At 35.8% G+C, this 18,763-nt stretch overlaps 1 protein-coding gene across 1 annotated transcript; it reads right to left on the minus strand.

Moving 5' to 3' along the window:
- Positions 1 to 645: 645 nt before the first annotated feature.
- On the minus strand, positions 646 to 1,590 carry OR10T2 (olfactory receptor family 10 subfamily T member 2). Its single transcript, NM_001004475.1, has one exon. The coding sequence runs from the start codon at positions 1,588 to 1,590 to the stop codon at positions 646 to 648; it is 945 nt and encodes a 314-aa protein (NP_001004475.1).
- Positions 1,591 to 18,763: the final 17,173 nt, after the last annotated feature.

The raw sequence follows: 18,763 nt of genomic DNA on the forward strand, positions 1-18,763 counted from the left end.
ATTAATATCTTGTTCTCCATTTAAGGCCCAGTTTAAATTTTCTCTCCCTTCTTTTCATCCCACTTATTCTAAATCTTTTTCTCTTTCAGATGGAATAAATACTCATTCCTTTGATTCTCATAACTTTTATTTATATTCTTTTAACTGATCTGATTATCTTGCATTATCATATTTTTTTCAGTGTTCATCTTTTCACCTAACCAGTCCCAACCACCATAAACTATACATTTGTTCATTTTAATTTTTCCTCTTTGAATGGGACTTGGTACACAGATGAATGTATTACTAGATGAATGCCTGTGTCCCGGATAAAAATGCTTCCAGCCACTTCAGACTCTGTTCTGTCTCTCCAACTGGAAAAGCAATTCTTGTCCTTATATTTGTTTTGGTTGTGTCTTTCCTTGAAAAACTCTCATGCTTTTCTCTTTTTGCCAAGTGTGAATTCTTTTTTTTTAACTAGACATCGGACAATATAGAGTGTAGATTGACTTGCATTTTTTTTCTTTTTGGAATAGGAGAAAATAAAAAGGCAAGAGTAGTCTTAATCCTTGGAAACACTGTCTGAGACATGCATTAAAGGTCAGAAAATTTTATGCCTTTGATTTCTTCTGTGACTATCCTAGTTAATTTTATTATTATTTTTTGTTAGCTCATCTTGGTTGCCACAGGCATTCCAAGAACTCTTTTCAATGCAGTTTTTACCTCTTTGTTCCTCAGACTGTAGACAAGAGGATTAAGTAAGGGAGTAACCACTGTGTAGGTCACTGCCACCAACTGATCCTTGTCTGAGGCAGACTTGGACTTGGGCCGCAGATAGATGATAGAGGCACAGCCATAGTGGACAAAGACCACAGTGAGATGTGAGGCACAGGTGACAAAGGCCTTCTTGCCCTCAGCTGAGGGGATCTTCAGGATGGTGTTAACTATGAAGCCATAGGATATGAGAATTAACAGAAAAGGCACCATAATTACCAGGATGCTGAGGCTAAATAAAGCCAGCTCTTTCACATGGGTGTCAGTGCAGGCTAACTTGATAACAGGTGCCATGTCACAGAAATAGTGGTTAACCCTGTTGGGGCCACAAAAACGCATGTCACAAATGAGGTTGGTGGCCACCAAAGCAATAAAGAAACCTGTGGCTCCTGAGAGAGAAATCAACTCCAACCCCAGCCTTTTGTTTATGATGAGTGTGTACCTCAGAGGGTGACAAATTGCTACATAGCGATCATATCCCATCACAGCAATGAGGAGGCAGTTGGTGCAAGCAAAGCCAAGGAAAAAGAACAGCTGGGTGGCACAGGCCATGAAGGAGATGGTCTTGGTGTCTGAGAGCAGGTGGACCAGCAGCTGAGGGATGATGACAAAAGTGTAGCAGGACTCAGAAAATGAAAGGATGAATAGAAAGCCATACATGGGAGTGTGGAGAGTCCAGCTGAAGCGAATAACGGCCATGATGGTCACATTGGCCACCAGGATTGTCAAGTATAGGAGAAGAAAGATGACAAAAAGCAGCAGCTGGAGCTCCCCCAGGCTGGAGAAACCCACCAGGATGAACTGTGTAACCACAGTGGTTTTGTTGAAACCTCGCATCTGAAGAACTTCTTTCTGTGAATGTGTTTGAAAGAGACAAAATGATAACTATCTTTGTAATACGAACATTTTCCCAACGCCTTCACTTTAAGTATATTGTCAGATTCATAATGTTAACATCTCTTTCTCTTAGTCTATCTAGATATAGATGCCTCTTTAATGATTTTTCCAAAAAATTATTAATCTGAAGTAACAGAGAAATGATTATCTACAGTATATAAATACCCCAAAGTTAAAAGGATCCAACTATTTGACAAAGTGAAAAAATTCTCTCAGTTTAAGAAGAACATTACCTTTAATATGGAATAGAAAATTTAAATTATTTTTCTTGTACTGTATGTATTTGGTCCTTGGATGTATATTCTATCCTAGTAATTTGGTTTCTTTTCCTAATATCACAATCCATTTAATTAGCATTATTGTAAAGGCATTAAAACACTGTGCCTCAGAGCATGAACTCAGGAACAAGAATGCTAGAGTTTGAAACTTGCCTTTGCCACTTAGAGCTATGAACTTCAGTGTGACAATTTTTGTCATTTGTAAGACATAAATAATAATAGAACATATTATATAGGATTGTTGTAAGAACTTAGATGGTATCAGTAAAGTACTTGAAACAGCACTTAACACATAGTAACTCCAATCTATGTGTCAGCTGCTTATGCAGTTAAGGAGTTGAGAGGCAAATATCCTGGTTTGATATTTGAACACTAGAAGAGCCTGGATCCTTAAATCAGGACAGAGTTTCCCTGCATTTGACTCAAGTGTTCTTATCCTTGAGATTCTTTTTTTAAAATTGAGCAAAAATTTAAATATGCACAGTTAAAGAAAGAACTGTTACTTTTACATTAAAAATTATTTTCTTTTTAATTTATTTTTTATTAGCAACTAATAATTATACCTATTTATGGGGTATTATGTGATGTTTGGATACATGTATACATTGTGGGATGATTAAATCAGGGTTCTTTAATAAATCTGCCCTTTTTTATCTAAGGAGTCTATAGCCTTTGAATTCTCTTTCATGATTCTATGACATTTGTTCTGTATGTTTCTGGAACTGTGAAGGGACCCAAGTGTAAAACCTGGGTCACAAGGTTATGATGTATCTGTCTATGAAACAAAATAGATTGATGATCACTAGGGATAGGGGTGGAGCAGGAAGACTTAGGTTAAGTCTTCTCTCTATTGAAGAAAGGAGAGGAAATAACGTGAACACACCTTGAATCTCTTGCAAATAAAATAGCCAGAAAGTGCTAAATGGAAAGAGAAGAGCCTATCTCAGGAACTTCCCATTATTTTATAGTCTAGGTTATTCCTCCTCCCAGAGCCCTAATCATTTTTACTTTCAGAATCAGCTTCAGAGATTCAGGAGAAACCAGATGTAATATTTGCACAACTCAACATCTCCCAACTTGTTGGCTACTTTAATGGCTATAAGATGTTAGGAGTTGTTTGACATGACACACTTGAGTTTGTTCATTGTTCATCATCTCTGTTGTGGTTTATTTGCTTAGGTAGTTCCACACACCTGCTACAACAGCTTTTTCCTTTGTTTCAGACCTTGCGGAAAATAAGATGCTTTCATGTAAGCTACTTCATTTTGACTCTAACATCCTGGTAGATAGCAAAAGTGTCTGTCGCTATCTCACGGGTAAGGCAAGTGTACTAAGTGCCCTCTCCTGGGCAGAGTAACCCATGAACATCCTCATCCTTGCATTTAACATGTTGCATTGAACATACCTCTTTATATATTTGGCACTCTTTATAGATTATAAGCTTCTCACATGCAGGAATAACTTTTTTTAATTAAAAAATGAGTCCCTAGAATATAGCATAGTTTGTGATTTATCATGTGCTCAAATATTTTGACTTGATTAGAATGTCAAAAATTAAATAATATGCTCAAGTGGTAGATCCAGTATCAGAATTCAAGTCTTCTAACTTCAAATCCACTTTCTACTTACCAAATTTTATGGCACCCATTCTTTACCTTGTGAGAAGATGATCTGCTCATATACTTTTTCCAAGGGATGAAAGCATAGTTCCACACTGCTTGTTCAAGTAAAACTTATTTGAACATTTCTGACTTTTCTGGAATAATCCAATTTTAATTATCCAAGTTTTTGAATTATCAAATTTTACAATATGAGCTTTATTCTCTTTAATCTTAATATTAGGGAGATAAGAAAAAAAGGAAAAAGGGGTAGGAAAGTAGGCAAATCAACGATATGATTGATGAAAACACTCAAAGGCAAGGAAGGTCAAGAGGATGTTGCTTAATTTCAATCACAGTTTTATGAACCAAACAAATTGCAATGTCTCCCTAAATCATTAGCTTCTTTTTCTGTGACTTTCATGAGAATTTTGTTAAATAAAAAATATCCTCTAATCTTGTCCTCAACACTAGTACTGCTTCTATATCTTTTTTCAGGTTGCTTCATATACTTGTTTTGCCCATTGTTTTTCATATTCAAATCCCTGTCATGTCCCATGTTCTCCAATAAACCTTCCCTGCCTACTAGAGTCCATACAGATGCTCATTCTCTTCATAGCCCTTAGGGACTTTAAAATCATGCATGTATGGGAACAGGTTAGGTAATATCTTGTATTACTTTATAACCAATTTGCCTATGTGGATGCCTCATAACCTTACTTACATTCTTTCTTTGAGGCAGGGGGCATAGCAACGTATTCTAAACAATCCGCAGCAGCTGCAAACAATACTGGGCACACAACAGACACTAATTAAATACTTAATAAATTATGGCATGGTTTATTTCATTCTTCTTTTGTTTATGAGTTTTCTCATCTGCTATTTTTTTCTGGAATATATTCTTTGTTCTACTATAATCCGTATTATTTTTAAATTTTTATTTTTTTTCAAAATCATCTTTTACTTTAAAAGGAGAAATCTACACTGCTGAGTTTTCCTGCCTTTCTAGTTACTTCTGTTGCTTGACATCTCAGCATTTAAATTTGATATATTAAGATGGGGTGGGTGTATATGTGTGTGTGTGTATATGTGTCTGTATCTGTGTGTGTGCACTCTAGCAGAGTGGAAGCTTTTTCATTTCAAGAAAAGAGCAAATAAAGTTTTACTTTGGCTCAGAATCCTTTTTATAACAATAAAAACTGCTAATGAATTCACACCTGAATTTTTGGTAGAAAATATTTCTTTCTTTAGATAGTAACTGACAAAGAAAATAGACTTACCTACTTATGTTCAAAAGATCAAGGAAGCTGCCATATGACTTTGTTGACTTATACTCTGGTAGGTCTTTTAAATATTGAAAGAGGCAGCAGAAAGTCAGTTGTAAAATCAATGACATCTGTCCCAGAAGATTAAATAATTGGAAGAAAATGCACTGAAGCATTTCATAAAGGGCTTATATGGAGACTTAGTTGTCCAAACCTTTTTAAGTCTTAAATAAGAGCTGAAAATAGTCTGGTTTATATTAATATGTCAATTCAGATTCTATATAATTGTATTTGAGAGTATTTATAGCCTTCTGGGATTCTAAGGAGTAAGGCCTTCTGAGACTTAGTAAGAGCTAAAACAAGAGAGGAAATAAATGACTAACCTTGAACAAGGACATATTATTTAATACCAGAAGAAAAAAATTCAAATGGCAATAAAACATTCCATCTCTGCAAAGAACTACAAGTGTAGATAAGTATTCTAGTGATTTTCTGACATCAAGACTACAAAATGTTGAAATGCCAGGAGAAGCCAAATTCTCCAACCAGGAGATATACAATAAAACTGCCTTGATAAGGCCTAAGAGATGAAGGCAGGGGTTGGTGAGTGCTGGTTGCTTGGCACTTTTGGGAATTACCTAAGTAGTCTCTGTTCTCCTAAATCAAAACCTGGAAAAAATTCAAATAACTGGATTTCTTAATTCTGTCCTAGGAATTATTGTAAGGAAATGACTTTCATCGAGGAACCATTCATTGAGTACCATGATTTAGAGAGCAGGATATGAGACATTATAGTGATACAAAGATAAAATGTATGAATTGATCTGCTCTAGTAGAGAAGACAGATGTAAGCAGAGCTATGTGTAATAAGAGGTAAAATGATGTTCAGTGTTATTGTGACATTAACAACAGGGCAGCTACAAGGATGAGCACCCCCAGCAGGGATTGCCTTGACCACAGCCAGGGCCGAGATTCAGCAAATGACTTCATGAATAAAAACATTCTGGAATAATAAGCCAAGTAGAAATATAAGAATTAGGAATAAAAAGTCAATACTGAATGTTTTGTGCCTAGGACACTCAAAGGAAAAAGGAGTGAGGAGGAAGACTGAGAACTATTTCTTGTAGTGGCTTGGCTGGTCACATGAGAAAACTTTCTGAAAACAAAATTGCTGGGAAAAATTTTAAAAAATTTTAGAAACCTATTGACAAGTTGAAGGTATAGTAGGAATTTTTAGGCCAAAATCTGAAGAAAATAAAATCCACAGAGGAACACTGGAAATTGCTTCTATTCTGAGGACATTTATTTACCTGTATGAAATTACAAACTCAAGCTGTTGATTTGAGAGAATCACAGGATGAGGCTGACAGAAATTAAAGACCAGAATCTAACAAATGGGGGAGTCAAAAATTAGATATTAAAGAGATTTTCTAGTTCCCATATTTGATGCTTTGACATCTGGACCTTCCTGACCAGGAAAAAAGCAGCCCTCCTAGGGTTAGCAGATTCATAGAGATAGAAAATGAATTTAATTTCATGTGCAGTCAAACACATCCAGAAGTCATACCCACAATTGCCTATTTTTGCATGCTCTTGGACTGAGGGACACTACTTCCTTTTCCTAATCCCCCTGGGGCCAGGTGTCAGACAACTAAGGATAGTCCTGGAACCCAGTGAAACTGTTTAAACTATCCAATTCTAAACCTGCTCAAAACCACTTACCCTGCTTTGCCTCAAAACCACTCTGAAGACTCTCCAAAACTTCCCTTTGCTTTCTGCCTACAACTGAACTTTGTGCTCTGGTGTTCTCCCCATGGCACTTCATGTGTGGCGTGATATGCCACCTTCCCACTCAGGCACTCAGGAACTCTAAGTAATCAACTATCTTTCAATGGCAGTCATCTCTCTATCTGCTGGTCTTACCCTATCTGAATAAAAATAAAGTCAACATTTTAAAACATATTGAAGGAGAGGAACAAAGTTGAAGAACTGACACTATCTGACCTCAAGACTTACTGCAAAGCTACAGTAATCAAGACAGTGTGGTATTGGTGAAAGAACAGATAAATAGAAAAATAAATGGGCTATCAAGCCATGAAAAGTCATTGAGGAACCTTAAATGTGTATTGCTAAGTGGAAAAGAGCTGTCTGAAAAGCCTATATACTATGTGGTCCCAACTACATGACATTCTGGAAAAAGCAACACTATTGAAATAATAAAATGACCACTGGTGTTTTCCAAGGATTCAGAGAAGGAGGGGAGGGAAAAATAAATGGGGCCCAAGGCATTTTTAGGACAGTGAAACTATTCTGTATAATACTCTAATTGTGACTATGACATTTTGCAGTTCTGAAAATATGTAGCATGAACCCAAATGTAAAATATATGGACTTAGGTTAATAATAATGTGTCAACATTGGTTTAATAAATAAAAAATGTACAGCAATAATTCAGAATGTTAATAATAAGAAAAACTGTGCAGGAGAGGGAGGCCACAACGGAATTTGATATTTTCTGTGTATTTTTTCTGTGAACCTAAATATGCTCTAAAAATAAAGTCTACTGAAGAAAAACAAAAAGAAAATAAGATTCTCATAGACATGATATGTAGAGATACAGGCCAAGCACAGTATGATTCAATTTATATAATGATCAAGGAAAGGTCACAATGATGGTGGTGGAAGTCAGGATAGAAGTTATATTTATAAATGCAATACCTGAGAGGCAGTACAATGGAACCCTACAGTGTTCTCATAATATTTAATTTATTTATTAGATATGTTCAATTTGTAACACTTTCATCAAGCTAAACCCTTATGATTTACGTCCCATTTAGTGTATATATTATGTTTTAAGATATTTACTTTAGTTAAAGTATACTAATTAGAGTTTCTCTTTGGGGAATAGTGAGCTAGAAATTTTTAGTCAGCCCACAGACTAGTAATCACTAGAAAAACTACAAAAATATTGGAAAAAAATCAGATCGAAGGCATCAGACTTTAACAAAGAATTAGTATTCAGGAAAAGCAACTAACCTGTGATGTTGTCCTGGTATTTGGGAGTAATTAGCTCCCAAGGAGAATCTGACAATTCCGGAAGATATTACCAAAAAGTCAAGAAGTTGAGACACACCGAGGTAAAGAGCAAATATATAGATCATGAACCACTGAGGAGTGATGGGGCTGGTGAACTTCCTGAACTTTGAATTGACATTTAAAAGGGAATATAATAGGAACAAGATTAAACAAGAAAAAAATCAACTTTCACAGGAGCCAAATTCAGTTTCAAACAGCCTTAAACCCTGGTAAACTTGAGCCAAGACTCCATTTAATACTCTAGCTCCATAAGTCCCTACTCTGAAAAGTAGATCATAGCAGCATTTTGGGTCTCTTGGGATCTGAACAGGTTAATAGACAGTATATCTTATGATCCCTAGAAGGCCTGGGTATTTTTCTTTATCCAGTACACAGATACCTTAGTAGATGGCAAAGTTCTCTAGGGAAATATTGGAACAAGATTCTCAGGATATAATTGTGGCCATGCTGTTGTGTCTTTCCTCAAAATTCCCCATCTACCCTCACAATCAAGGGGTTTTGGGTTTGGGAATTGGTGTTGAATTGGCAATTGGGTGCAAAGACATGAATTAAAACACTATAACTTACTTTTATCTGTTTGTCAGACATGAAATAAATGTCAAACATCACTTTAGTTGTCTGCTCATCTGCTTCATTGCTAGAAATCCCTTATCCATTAGCCATTTCTACAGATCTCTGCAGGACAAAACTCCTCTCATTACTCTGAACTTCAGGTTTATATTGGTTATTTTCCATATCTTCTCCCTGACAGTTTCATGTAACTTCCTGCCTTCCATCCTCTGGAATACTATTATTCTTATTGATAGCAGTGAGCTCAATTTCTCTGTAGCATCATCACCGTCATCTCTAGTTTACTAATGACAATTTCTTTAGAACACTTCAAAGATGTTTATATTCTCATCACCAATGCATTTATTGATGCATTTATTAATGCATTGGTAGGTGGTTATTTTCCAGGTCCTCTGTGTAACAGTGGTTAGGGATTAGCCAAGGAGGCTGTCCAAATAATTCATTCCAACACATCTATTTCTCTGAATCTTTGAATTAATTCCTTTACAATGAGTTAAAAGATGTGACATTTCCAACTTATTAACCATAGATCAATGTTTAGTTTAGGTTTTGTTTAGTCTATTAGCTAGCAAAATATTAATGCCACTTTTGCATGCATGAGCCAATATATTAAATTCTGAAGCCCAAGGGAATACTCCCATAGCAATGAGTTTGACTGAATTCCAATTTATGTTTCCTCTCCCTTGGCTAAAGTCTTTACAATTCTTTCCTAAATATACCCTCCTAACTCCCACAGATACAAATTGGAAGGCATTTTATTATTATTATTAATTATTATTATTTTTGCAGTTTATCTGTTCTCAGAGCCAACCTTGTACCTCTTTATCTGATTATACTGTGATCCAGTTCCTGTTGTAGGCCTAGAAACAAAGTTAAGTGATGGGGCAATTATTTCAGGTGCAATCCCTGAGTCTTTTATGTTGAGTATGGTTGATTACCTTAGATGTGGTGTGTGCGCCTGTGTGTGTGTCGGGGGACGGGGGCGGTAAGGGTAATTTAAAGGAAATGGGTCATCAAGATCTCAGCCTCACATGGATCTGCTGAAAAATGTCCATTTCATGTCTCAAAGTCTTACTTCTTATTGAGCAGAAGAGCGCTGGTCAGGCTGATATTTGACAGCTAAATGTATAATCAGTTTGTGTGCTTCATCCTTAGCCATGGCTGCCCTAAACCCCTGGATGATCCTTCACATCTGTCATAAAAACATTTTGATTTTTTCATACATCTTTTAAAATGCTTATTACTTATAATTTCCCTTTCGTCTATGCTTACTCTCTATGATAGTAAAGAAAAGCCAGAAGCTTAATAAATCTCTGAAATCTCTGTTATTGCCAACAACCACATGATCACCCAATGTCTTGCCCTCCCTCTGTAATTCATCCTATGCTATTACTGGTGTTTATTTGTTAATTAAAATGGTATTAGGTCAGGAGTTTGAGACCAACCTGGCCAACATGACGAAACCTCATCTCTACTAAAAACACAAAAAAATTAGCTGGGCGTGGTGGTGTGTGCTTGTGGTCCGAGCTACTCGGGAGGCTGAGGCAGGAGAATCGCTTGAACCTGGGAGACGGAAGTTGCAGTGAGGGGAGATCATGCCACTGCACTCCAGCCTGGGTGACAGAGCAAGACTCCGTCTCAAAAAAAAAAAAAAAAAAAAAGTATTAAATGCTGGGATGAATTCATCCTTTTTTACCCCAACACTGAAGTTATTTGTGTACTCATTAGATATACAAGCAACCCAATCCAAGAATCCCATTTTCAGGAATTTTTTTCTTAAGTTACTCTTGCTCCTAATCACTGTTTCAGCCAAGGTCCACTAGAAAATAAATAGCACATCAAAATAAAGGAAATTCAAGAGATAGGAAAATACCATAGACAATGGAATAATCTGGGATTAGCAGCATCCCAGTTTTTGTGTCTTCTATTTTATACCCTGTTACTGTGATCCATATAGATCAGTCTTCTGAGAAAGAAAGCTGGGTGAAGAATGGTAGAGAGTAGATCTGGAGTGAATGTGTACATACTGAACATTAGCATAATATTGACTAAAAATTCTGACAAAAGTAGTACAACAAAAGAAAATTTCAAGCCAATCTCTTGACCATGGGTGCTGTGAAAATTAAGCAGAAGCTTTAAGAACTATGGCACAGCTCTACCATCCTGTTTTTTCTCCCTTAGTGAGAACAGCATGCTATTCTCTTAAGGGCTGTTTCTTCAGTCTTAATCACAGAATAAAAAAAAAGAAGAACTGTTTGAGGGTTGATACCCACACACAACTTGTTTAAGAAACAGAGCTTTGTGGTTCTAAGCCATTTAGGGTTTAGCATTATTTGCTATTGGAGAATAACCTAACAAAGGCTGACTAATAGAGATGTAAAAATTAAATAACTAAAGGCTTACAAAACCCCAAGGAATGTGGTATAGATGTATTAAAATGCGATATACTAGGTTTTATAATAAAATTACCAATGATAGAGGGGTTCGGTTTATAATGCATGAATTTTAATTCTTTAGGAAGCCACCAGTATATATATACACACACACTCAGAACTAAAGAAAGAAATGCAAAAATCTAGAATCATTTGGGAGGTTTAACAAATCTTTTAAAATAATACCATTATCTATACATACATAATATATTTATGGCTGTATATTTCCTTCTAAGTACTATTTTAGTTAAATATCACAAGTTTTCATGTACAATATTTAAAAATATTTTCTTGTGAAAATATGATTTCTTTTTAAGCTATTATTTACAAGTGTGCTTTCTAAGTTTTAAACATATGGGGATTTTCTTTTTTTCTTTTTTTATTATACTTTAAGTTCTGGGGTACATGTGCAGAACATGCAGTTTTTTTACATAGCTATACACGTGCCATGGTGGTTTGCTGCACCCATCAACCCGTAACCTACATTAGGTATTTCTCCTAATGCTATCCCTCTCCTAGCCCCTCACCCCCAAACAGGCCCCAGTGTGTGATGTTCTCCTCCCTGTGTTCATGTGTTCTCATTGTTCAACTCCCACTTATGAATGAGAACATGCGGTGTTTGGTTTCCTGTTCTTGTGTTAGTTTGCTGAGAATGATGGTTTCCAGCTTCATCCATGTCCCTGCAAAGGACATGAACTCATCCTTTCTTATGGTTGCATAGTATTCCATGGTTTATACAAACATATGGGGATTTTCTAGTAATATATTCTACTCATTTTGTATGCAATAAATATTTATTGCCTGTTATGTACCAGGCACCCTTCCAGCTCTAGACATGCATCAGTGAGCAAAATGAATAAATATCCCCATAAATATATTTATAGCTACATATTTCTAAGTACTTCCTTTTCAACATAGAAAGGAAGAAAGACCAAAAGCTGCATGTAGAGCCTTAAAGTTATATAGGACTTGAATAGTTAAAATAGGAAACAAATTTACCATACAGATACCAACAAAACCAAAAATTTGTTCTTTTTAAAAAACTGATAAAATTGACAAATCTCTAGTGAGACTGATTAGTGAAACAAAAGCCCAATATACATTATCAGAAATGATAAAAGAGCTATAACTACCGATGCTGCAGAGAATAACAAGGTAATAAGGACATACTGTAAAGGTTATTATATATAGCTATGTATAATTTAGATGAAAATAAATGAAATGTTAATAAAATAAACAATAGCATGATTTATTCTGGAAGAAATTGGGGACTTATACAAACATTTAACAACTGAATTATTTGTAAACTTTTCAATAAAGAAATATCCAGTCCCCAATGGCTTCAACAAAGATTATAAAATTTCAGTGATTCAGAAATATTTCAGAGAATATACAAGAAAAATCCCAAGTCGTTTTATGAGGCCAGAAAACCTTGATTTTAAACCTTAATGGGAATTGTTAAGAGAGATAAAAATTTCATACCAATATTCATTCATAAGTACATACAAAATACACACACACACACATATGGCATATCTAAATTGTCTCAGTCTGAGTAAGTGTGGGTGTGTGTGAGTGCACCTTGTGATGGAATGGTGTTCTGCTCAGGCTTGGCTCCTGCTTTGTGCTTCGGCCTTCCAGAACCCTGAACTGAAATAAACGAGTTGGAAAATGAATGAAAAATACAAATTATTTCAACATAAAAATTTGTAAATATACAATAATGATACAAATGCATGACAATAAATGATGTGATCTGAAAGTGTTCAGCAAGCCTGCCATATTTGTGATTGTTTTGAACTGCCTTGTGGTAGGAGGTGCTCTTTACAATGTTCTCTTGGCAAGCATTTATTCCTTAATTTAACCTCCACTACTATGATCACCATTACTTACTGATTCACCTAAAATTGGGTAAATAATAATCATGGTTTTATTAATCTTTTGCAAATGTATGGATAGCTTAAATTTATTACAATATTTATTGTAATATTATTATTATAGTAAGTGAGGACTTACTGTACAAAGGTGATTTGGGAGGGTTCATTAATTTCACCATTATCCTGTTCTGTCTTTTTTACTCCCTCTTCCACTTTAGCTATCTTTCTTTTGCTGTTAAGTAGCAAGCCCCCCATGGACACTCTAGGGTTGGGGAGGCATTGTGAATAACCCTGGCCATCACTTGTTGACCTAATATGTGTAAGGAAATTACTTAAAACTTTACACAAATTGTCTTATTCAATCTTCATGATCAGAAAATAAAAGAAAAATCTTATGTCAATTGTGAGGTAATAAATGGTATGTGTGAAAGTCAGGATAGAAGTCCTGGGTTCCCCCTTACAGTGTCAATGGGAGCAATGGAATTCTTGATCTAGACAGCCCTCACATGAGGACCTACAAGACTTCCCGCTGGGCAGGGTTTGCAATACTTGCCCAGATCATGGGTTGAATGATATATCAGGGAAGTTTATAAGTTTTGTCTGGGCATAGAACCAAGTGGCCTAAGTACTAATCTTGCCTGCCACCAAGCAGCTGTGTGGGACATTGGACAAGCTATATTACCTCTCTAGCCTTGGTTTTCTTCTCTGTGAAATAGAGATTACATAAAGACATTTGACATCTTTGAGATTCTAAAACACTCCTGGATAAGATATCTGACTAGCTAGTCTATGCTTGGGGAGAAATAGAAGAAAAGGTTGACTCCAAGGAATGGCTACAGGGAAAGACCAAGTGGATTTACCTAGCTAGGGAGTTGAGAGATGATACAAAATTATCCTGCCTCCTGCATACTTTGCCTGGATCTGGGCACTAGCATACGACCAATTTCCATACGACAGACCCTGAGACCTTCTGGGCTGTAAAAAGCCTTATAACCATCTGATGCTACTTTTGCTAGCCTTTAGAGGTTTGTTCATCAGAATCTGCCAATTTCTGCACAGGAGAACACAGGGAAAATAGAAATAGAGTGGCTAACTGGTTATGCGGAACTAGTGTCCTATATTTGATCAGCACTAATATTATTGGCTTTTCAATTTCTTTATTTTATATGTGGGCATATTCTTAACTTTTGGGAATATTCAAGATAGTGAAGATTGCTGAGAAAGTAACGTTTTTGGTTTTTCTCTTTCAGTTCCTTCAAGTTCAATGCATCATAGCAATTAGGAAGTATTAGCATTGGTTTCTAGTAAGGGTTAGGATATATTACTGCAGGTTAGAGATGTTCTGTAAGCAAAACACCCTGAGCCAATAGGGAGAAAGAACTGACTCAAGGTCAGCATGAAACAGGGACAGAGAAAAGTTTAACAATCTGGACCAAGGTCCAAACAAGTAAATAAAAAATGCAGTAAATCCTGACACAGGTATCAAAACAAAGAAACAGCCAAGCCAGAGGCAAATGCATCATTTTGTTATGCAGAATGAAGTGAAATGGGTAAGAATATAACTTTAACATTTGTGTTATACTTAATATAAGAACCAAATAAATGAGACAAGAAAAAGTCCTTTGCTGTAGGAAAAGGGCATTGGCATTCATTCACTGCAGATTTAGCTTCGGAAACTATAAAATGGGAGACAGAAGATCAAGCACTCATGTAGGAGGAGGAGTCAGTGCCCAGTCAGTACCAAGTGAAGTGTGCCTGGGAACAACATGGCCATAAACAGCACTACGCAGTTTAAACTGTGTTATCAAGAAAAGCATCAGGTTTCCCAGCTGGTGACAGACTCCGAAATCCATTCACTTTACTCTTAGGGTGCATAATGCCGTCCCCATTAATGACTACAAAAATAAAACATTTAAAATAAATAAATATATTAAGAAGACAATAAACTTTTATCTGTACTCTTACCACCCAGATATCAATCACTTCTATTAACATGTTCACATATGTTTCTGACTTTTCTATGTGCACAATGTGGAGAAAAGTGTTTTATGGCAGGCCTGAACTGCTGCTATTCTTAGGAAAGCCTGCTTGCAAGATTGGCCTTTGGCTAGCATCTGAAAACTTGGCTGGCAAACAGTTCCTTACACAAATCTTTCCCTAATTGATAAGGTGGCTCACTGTCCCTCTCTGTTTGTACAAAGAATGCAGAATTTTGGTACATGCTAGGCAGAGGTTGCCAATGTGGCCAATTCTGAATGAAGTCCTCGGACACTGCGTTTCTAGTGGGTTTTCCTGGGTAGAAACATAACCTAGAGGTTGCTGCATTTTTGTTGATGGGGAAGGATGCACTATGACTCTTATGGGGAGAGGTAGCATGAGAAGTCTGCACATAGATTCCTGCAGACACTGCCTGTGTCTTATGATTTGACTGTGTGGTGAATTCTCATTAAGCTCCTGTAATCAATGTTAGCTGTGAAGACAACCCTATTGTGAGTCTTGAGTCCTGGTAGTAAAGATTTGAATGTGGGGTTGGTCTTGGGAACTCCCCAACAAAACAAACACATGTAATATTTTTAAAAGAAGAGATCGTATTATCTGCACCTTTTTCTACCTTTTTATATAGAATACATAGAAAATATGTTTCTACATCAATAAATATAGACCTATAATAATATTATAAATTATTGCATAGCATTATAGTTAGTCTTGGACTTTTAAGTTTTGCACATTTTACCACACTGTGACTTAAAAAAAAACCTTGAGATATAGCAACACTTAATCCTCATTCATTATTACTTATGAGGAAATTTAAAAAATAGTAATTCTGGGTCTACATACATTTTTATGATTTTTGATACATATTGTAAACTGGCCTTTAGAAAGCATGAGCCAGTGTCCACATAAAGATAATGTGTAATCAAAAGTCTCATTTCCCATTTCCAGAATGATAAAATCATTAATTTAAAAAAATTTGATTGATGCAGCAGAGTGATAATTCTTTGTTTTAAATTGCATTACTTCAATTGTTTACACAATTGGACATTTTTCAAAATTCTTCTAAAAATTGACTATGATTTCTTCTTTTAGAAATGCTTATTTATTTATATTTTTCATTTAAAAATTATTTGGCTTTACTTTTATGATATTTACATTTCTACAATTAAAGAAGTAATTATCTTTCATAAGTGTTTAAAATATTTTTTACTCATTTTTAAATTTTATTTAATAGCCACTTCATATTGTTATATAAATAATTTACACATTCAAATCTTTTCCTTCATGCTTACAACTTCTATTTTCATGTTTGTAGAGCTCGTCTATATTTAGAGAACTCTCCAACATTAGATGCATTTACCTAAATTTGCTTTTTAACTCACTATAATTTTGAAAATATGGTAATATCTGATCTATTTTATTTTAGATTATATTTTGAACATAATCTAATTGGCATCCTTTAGTATTAAACAATGTGCATACTTCTATTTCTTTAAAAAATAACCTTTCCTCACTAATTGAATATTACTTTTGAATATTCCATTCTGTGCTTTGATTTGTGTGTCTAGTTTGCTCTAATATCACACTGGTTGAGTAGTTATTTTATAGTACATTTTACTTTCTGACAGAGCAAATCTTATCACTATTCTTTAGAAGCTCTTTGAATATTAATTCATGACCAATCTTGCACTTGAAATTCAAGGATATTTATCATATTATCAAAAATAGGTATTTGATTGGAATTTATTTAAACTTTGAAGTGAAATAAGGATTAATTGGCATCTCTAAAATTGAGAAATCCTATCCTTGTATAATGCGTGCCTGTATTCATTCATTTTTCATTCTGTATCCCCGTGAAAAGTTTTTAATGGCTTTACTTTAATAGGCCTTCACTAGAAATTGTTAAATGTGTTTCTGGAAGTTTTGTGAGCTGACTAATTTAAATTTCCTATTTTTCAACCACTTTCCATCTACCTCACACAGGTGTGTTGAGCTCCCTAAAGGATCTCATATATCTCACACCTTACACTGTCCTCTTGCTTTCCTCATTTGTAGGCTGTTCAGGGATTTACTCTTAAACTATCAGAGTTCTGTGGTCTCTAGCACATCCCCCTACTTTGTTGAATCACTGCTCTGTGGAGTTTGTCTCTTCTACAGGATCCTTCTGAGCTGTTTCCCCACTGATGACCAGTGATGTCCCCTTTGGTCTCTTGCCAACCACAGATACAACATCTGCTTTGTAGCGGTGTTATCATATCCTTTGGGAATGATTACTGCATTATGTTTTAACACCAGTTCTTTCGACCTTGCTAATAAAGATTAATCAAGGGAAATGAACAACTTTCCTAAGACATGAAAGTGAAGAAGCAAAAAAAGTGGAATCAAATTCCAAAAGGTTTTCATGATGGAAAGTTAAAAGTAGAGTGGAATGGTTGGGAAAATCATCTCAGGAATCACAGAAGTTTTGGCGGAAGGACATAGGAAGTCACCTCAGTGAGCATTGAGAGAGGATGAAATCAATGCACGGAAGTTGAGTCAGTTAGTGTCAGATAATTTGCTAGAGAATGACTGTTTCTAAAATCTTATTTTGCCATGATTTAATTACTCTCTTCCCATTACATGTAGTCATACTATATTTTCTGGTTGTTAGAGTCAACATCCTATTAAAAACAGGTACACTTGTGCTACAGACACATTTTATTTTATTTTTATTTTTTCAGGCTGGAGTGCAGTGAGACAATCATAGCTCACTGCAGCCTCAAACTCCTGAACTCAAGCAATTCTCCTACCTCAGCCTCCCGAGTAGCTGGGACTACAGATGTGCCACCATGCCGAGCTAATTTATGTATTTATTTACTTTAGAGATGAGTGGGGAGTCATTTTGTTGTCCAGGCTGGTCTTAAACTCCTGGCCTCAAGTTATCCTCCTGCCTCAGCTTCTCCAGTAGCTGGGATTACAGGTGTGAGCCACCATGCCCAGCCACAGACACAATTTAATCATGAAGGATTATAAGAAGAGGATAGCTCCACACATTTTTAAATGTGCATGGGCACTTTTGTGAGGAGTTGCCTTTTCAAATGAAAGACCCCTACTGTCCTAGAAAAGTGTCCAGGACTCAGCTAGCCTATGTAAAACAAAATGTTTTATTTTACAATGGCTGACTTTCTAAAAATGTGTGAAACTATTAATATCTCACTAAAATCAGCAGGAAATAAACTGATTTAGAATAATTATGAGTTGGATTTTTTTCTTTGAGTATTACTACCCAATCAACCTAATTAACTCTTGATCTTTGTAACCGTTAAGACTGTTATATATTAATGCATAGGAAAACAAACTGTATTTTTAAATAACCTCTCACTAACTTGTGTGGAAGATATAGCCTTGATGTGGAAGACTCTTTATTGCTAAACACAAACCTACTCATCTTCCTCGGTATAAATGCCTCTATGACAGTTATTTACCTGTTGCCCCTCAGCAATACCCCATTCTTCTATATTTTGCAAATTGCCTTTTCTTTAACTCTCTTGCCTTCTGGCTTTTGATACTTGTTAAGCACTGAAGAAAAGGATGTAAGAGAAGGTGCTTCCCTTCTGCTTCCAGCTCCTGTTGGCATTTCCTAGTAGCAGTAGATAGCTGTGGATCCAGCCTCCAGTTTCCTTTAACACTCTTAGTGCCAAACTTGCTGTGTTCCCTCAGAGGTACCAGCCACATCCATGCCAATCCTCTGGGTAATCATGATACTACTGCATGCTCCCACACCCACTGGGTATACCCAATAGATCACTTAATCAACTGTCAGGCCACTCCCACTCCTGGAAGGTTCTAGCATTGGACCTCCAAGGTTTCTTCTCTGAACTCCTGGTTTCTATTAACACCACATTTTCTCCATCCATTGCAAGTCTAAGCAGAGTAGCCATTTTCCTTAATTATACAAATGTGTTGCCCTAGCATCCCTTTTTGCTTTTACAAATTTTCACATTCGTGTAAGCAATTCCCTAT

Source organism: Homo sapiens, chromosome 1 (genome assembly GCF_000001405.40).
Source record: "Homo sapiens chromosome 1, GRCh38.p14 Primary Assembly".
NCBI lineage: Eukaryota > Metazoa > Chordata > Mammalia > Primates > Hominidae > Homo > Homo sapiens.

Coding starts and splice junctions, on each gene's coding strand:
- OR10T2 (NM_001004475.1), bottom strand. CDS start 1,590: ATGCGAGGTTTCAACAAAACCACTGTGGTTACACAGTTCATCCTGGTG.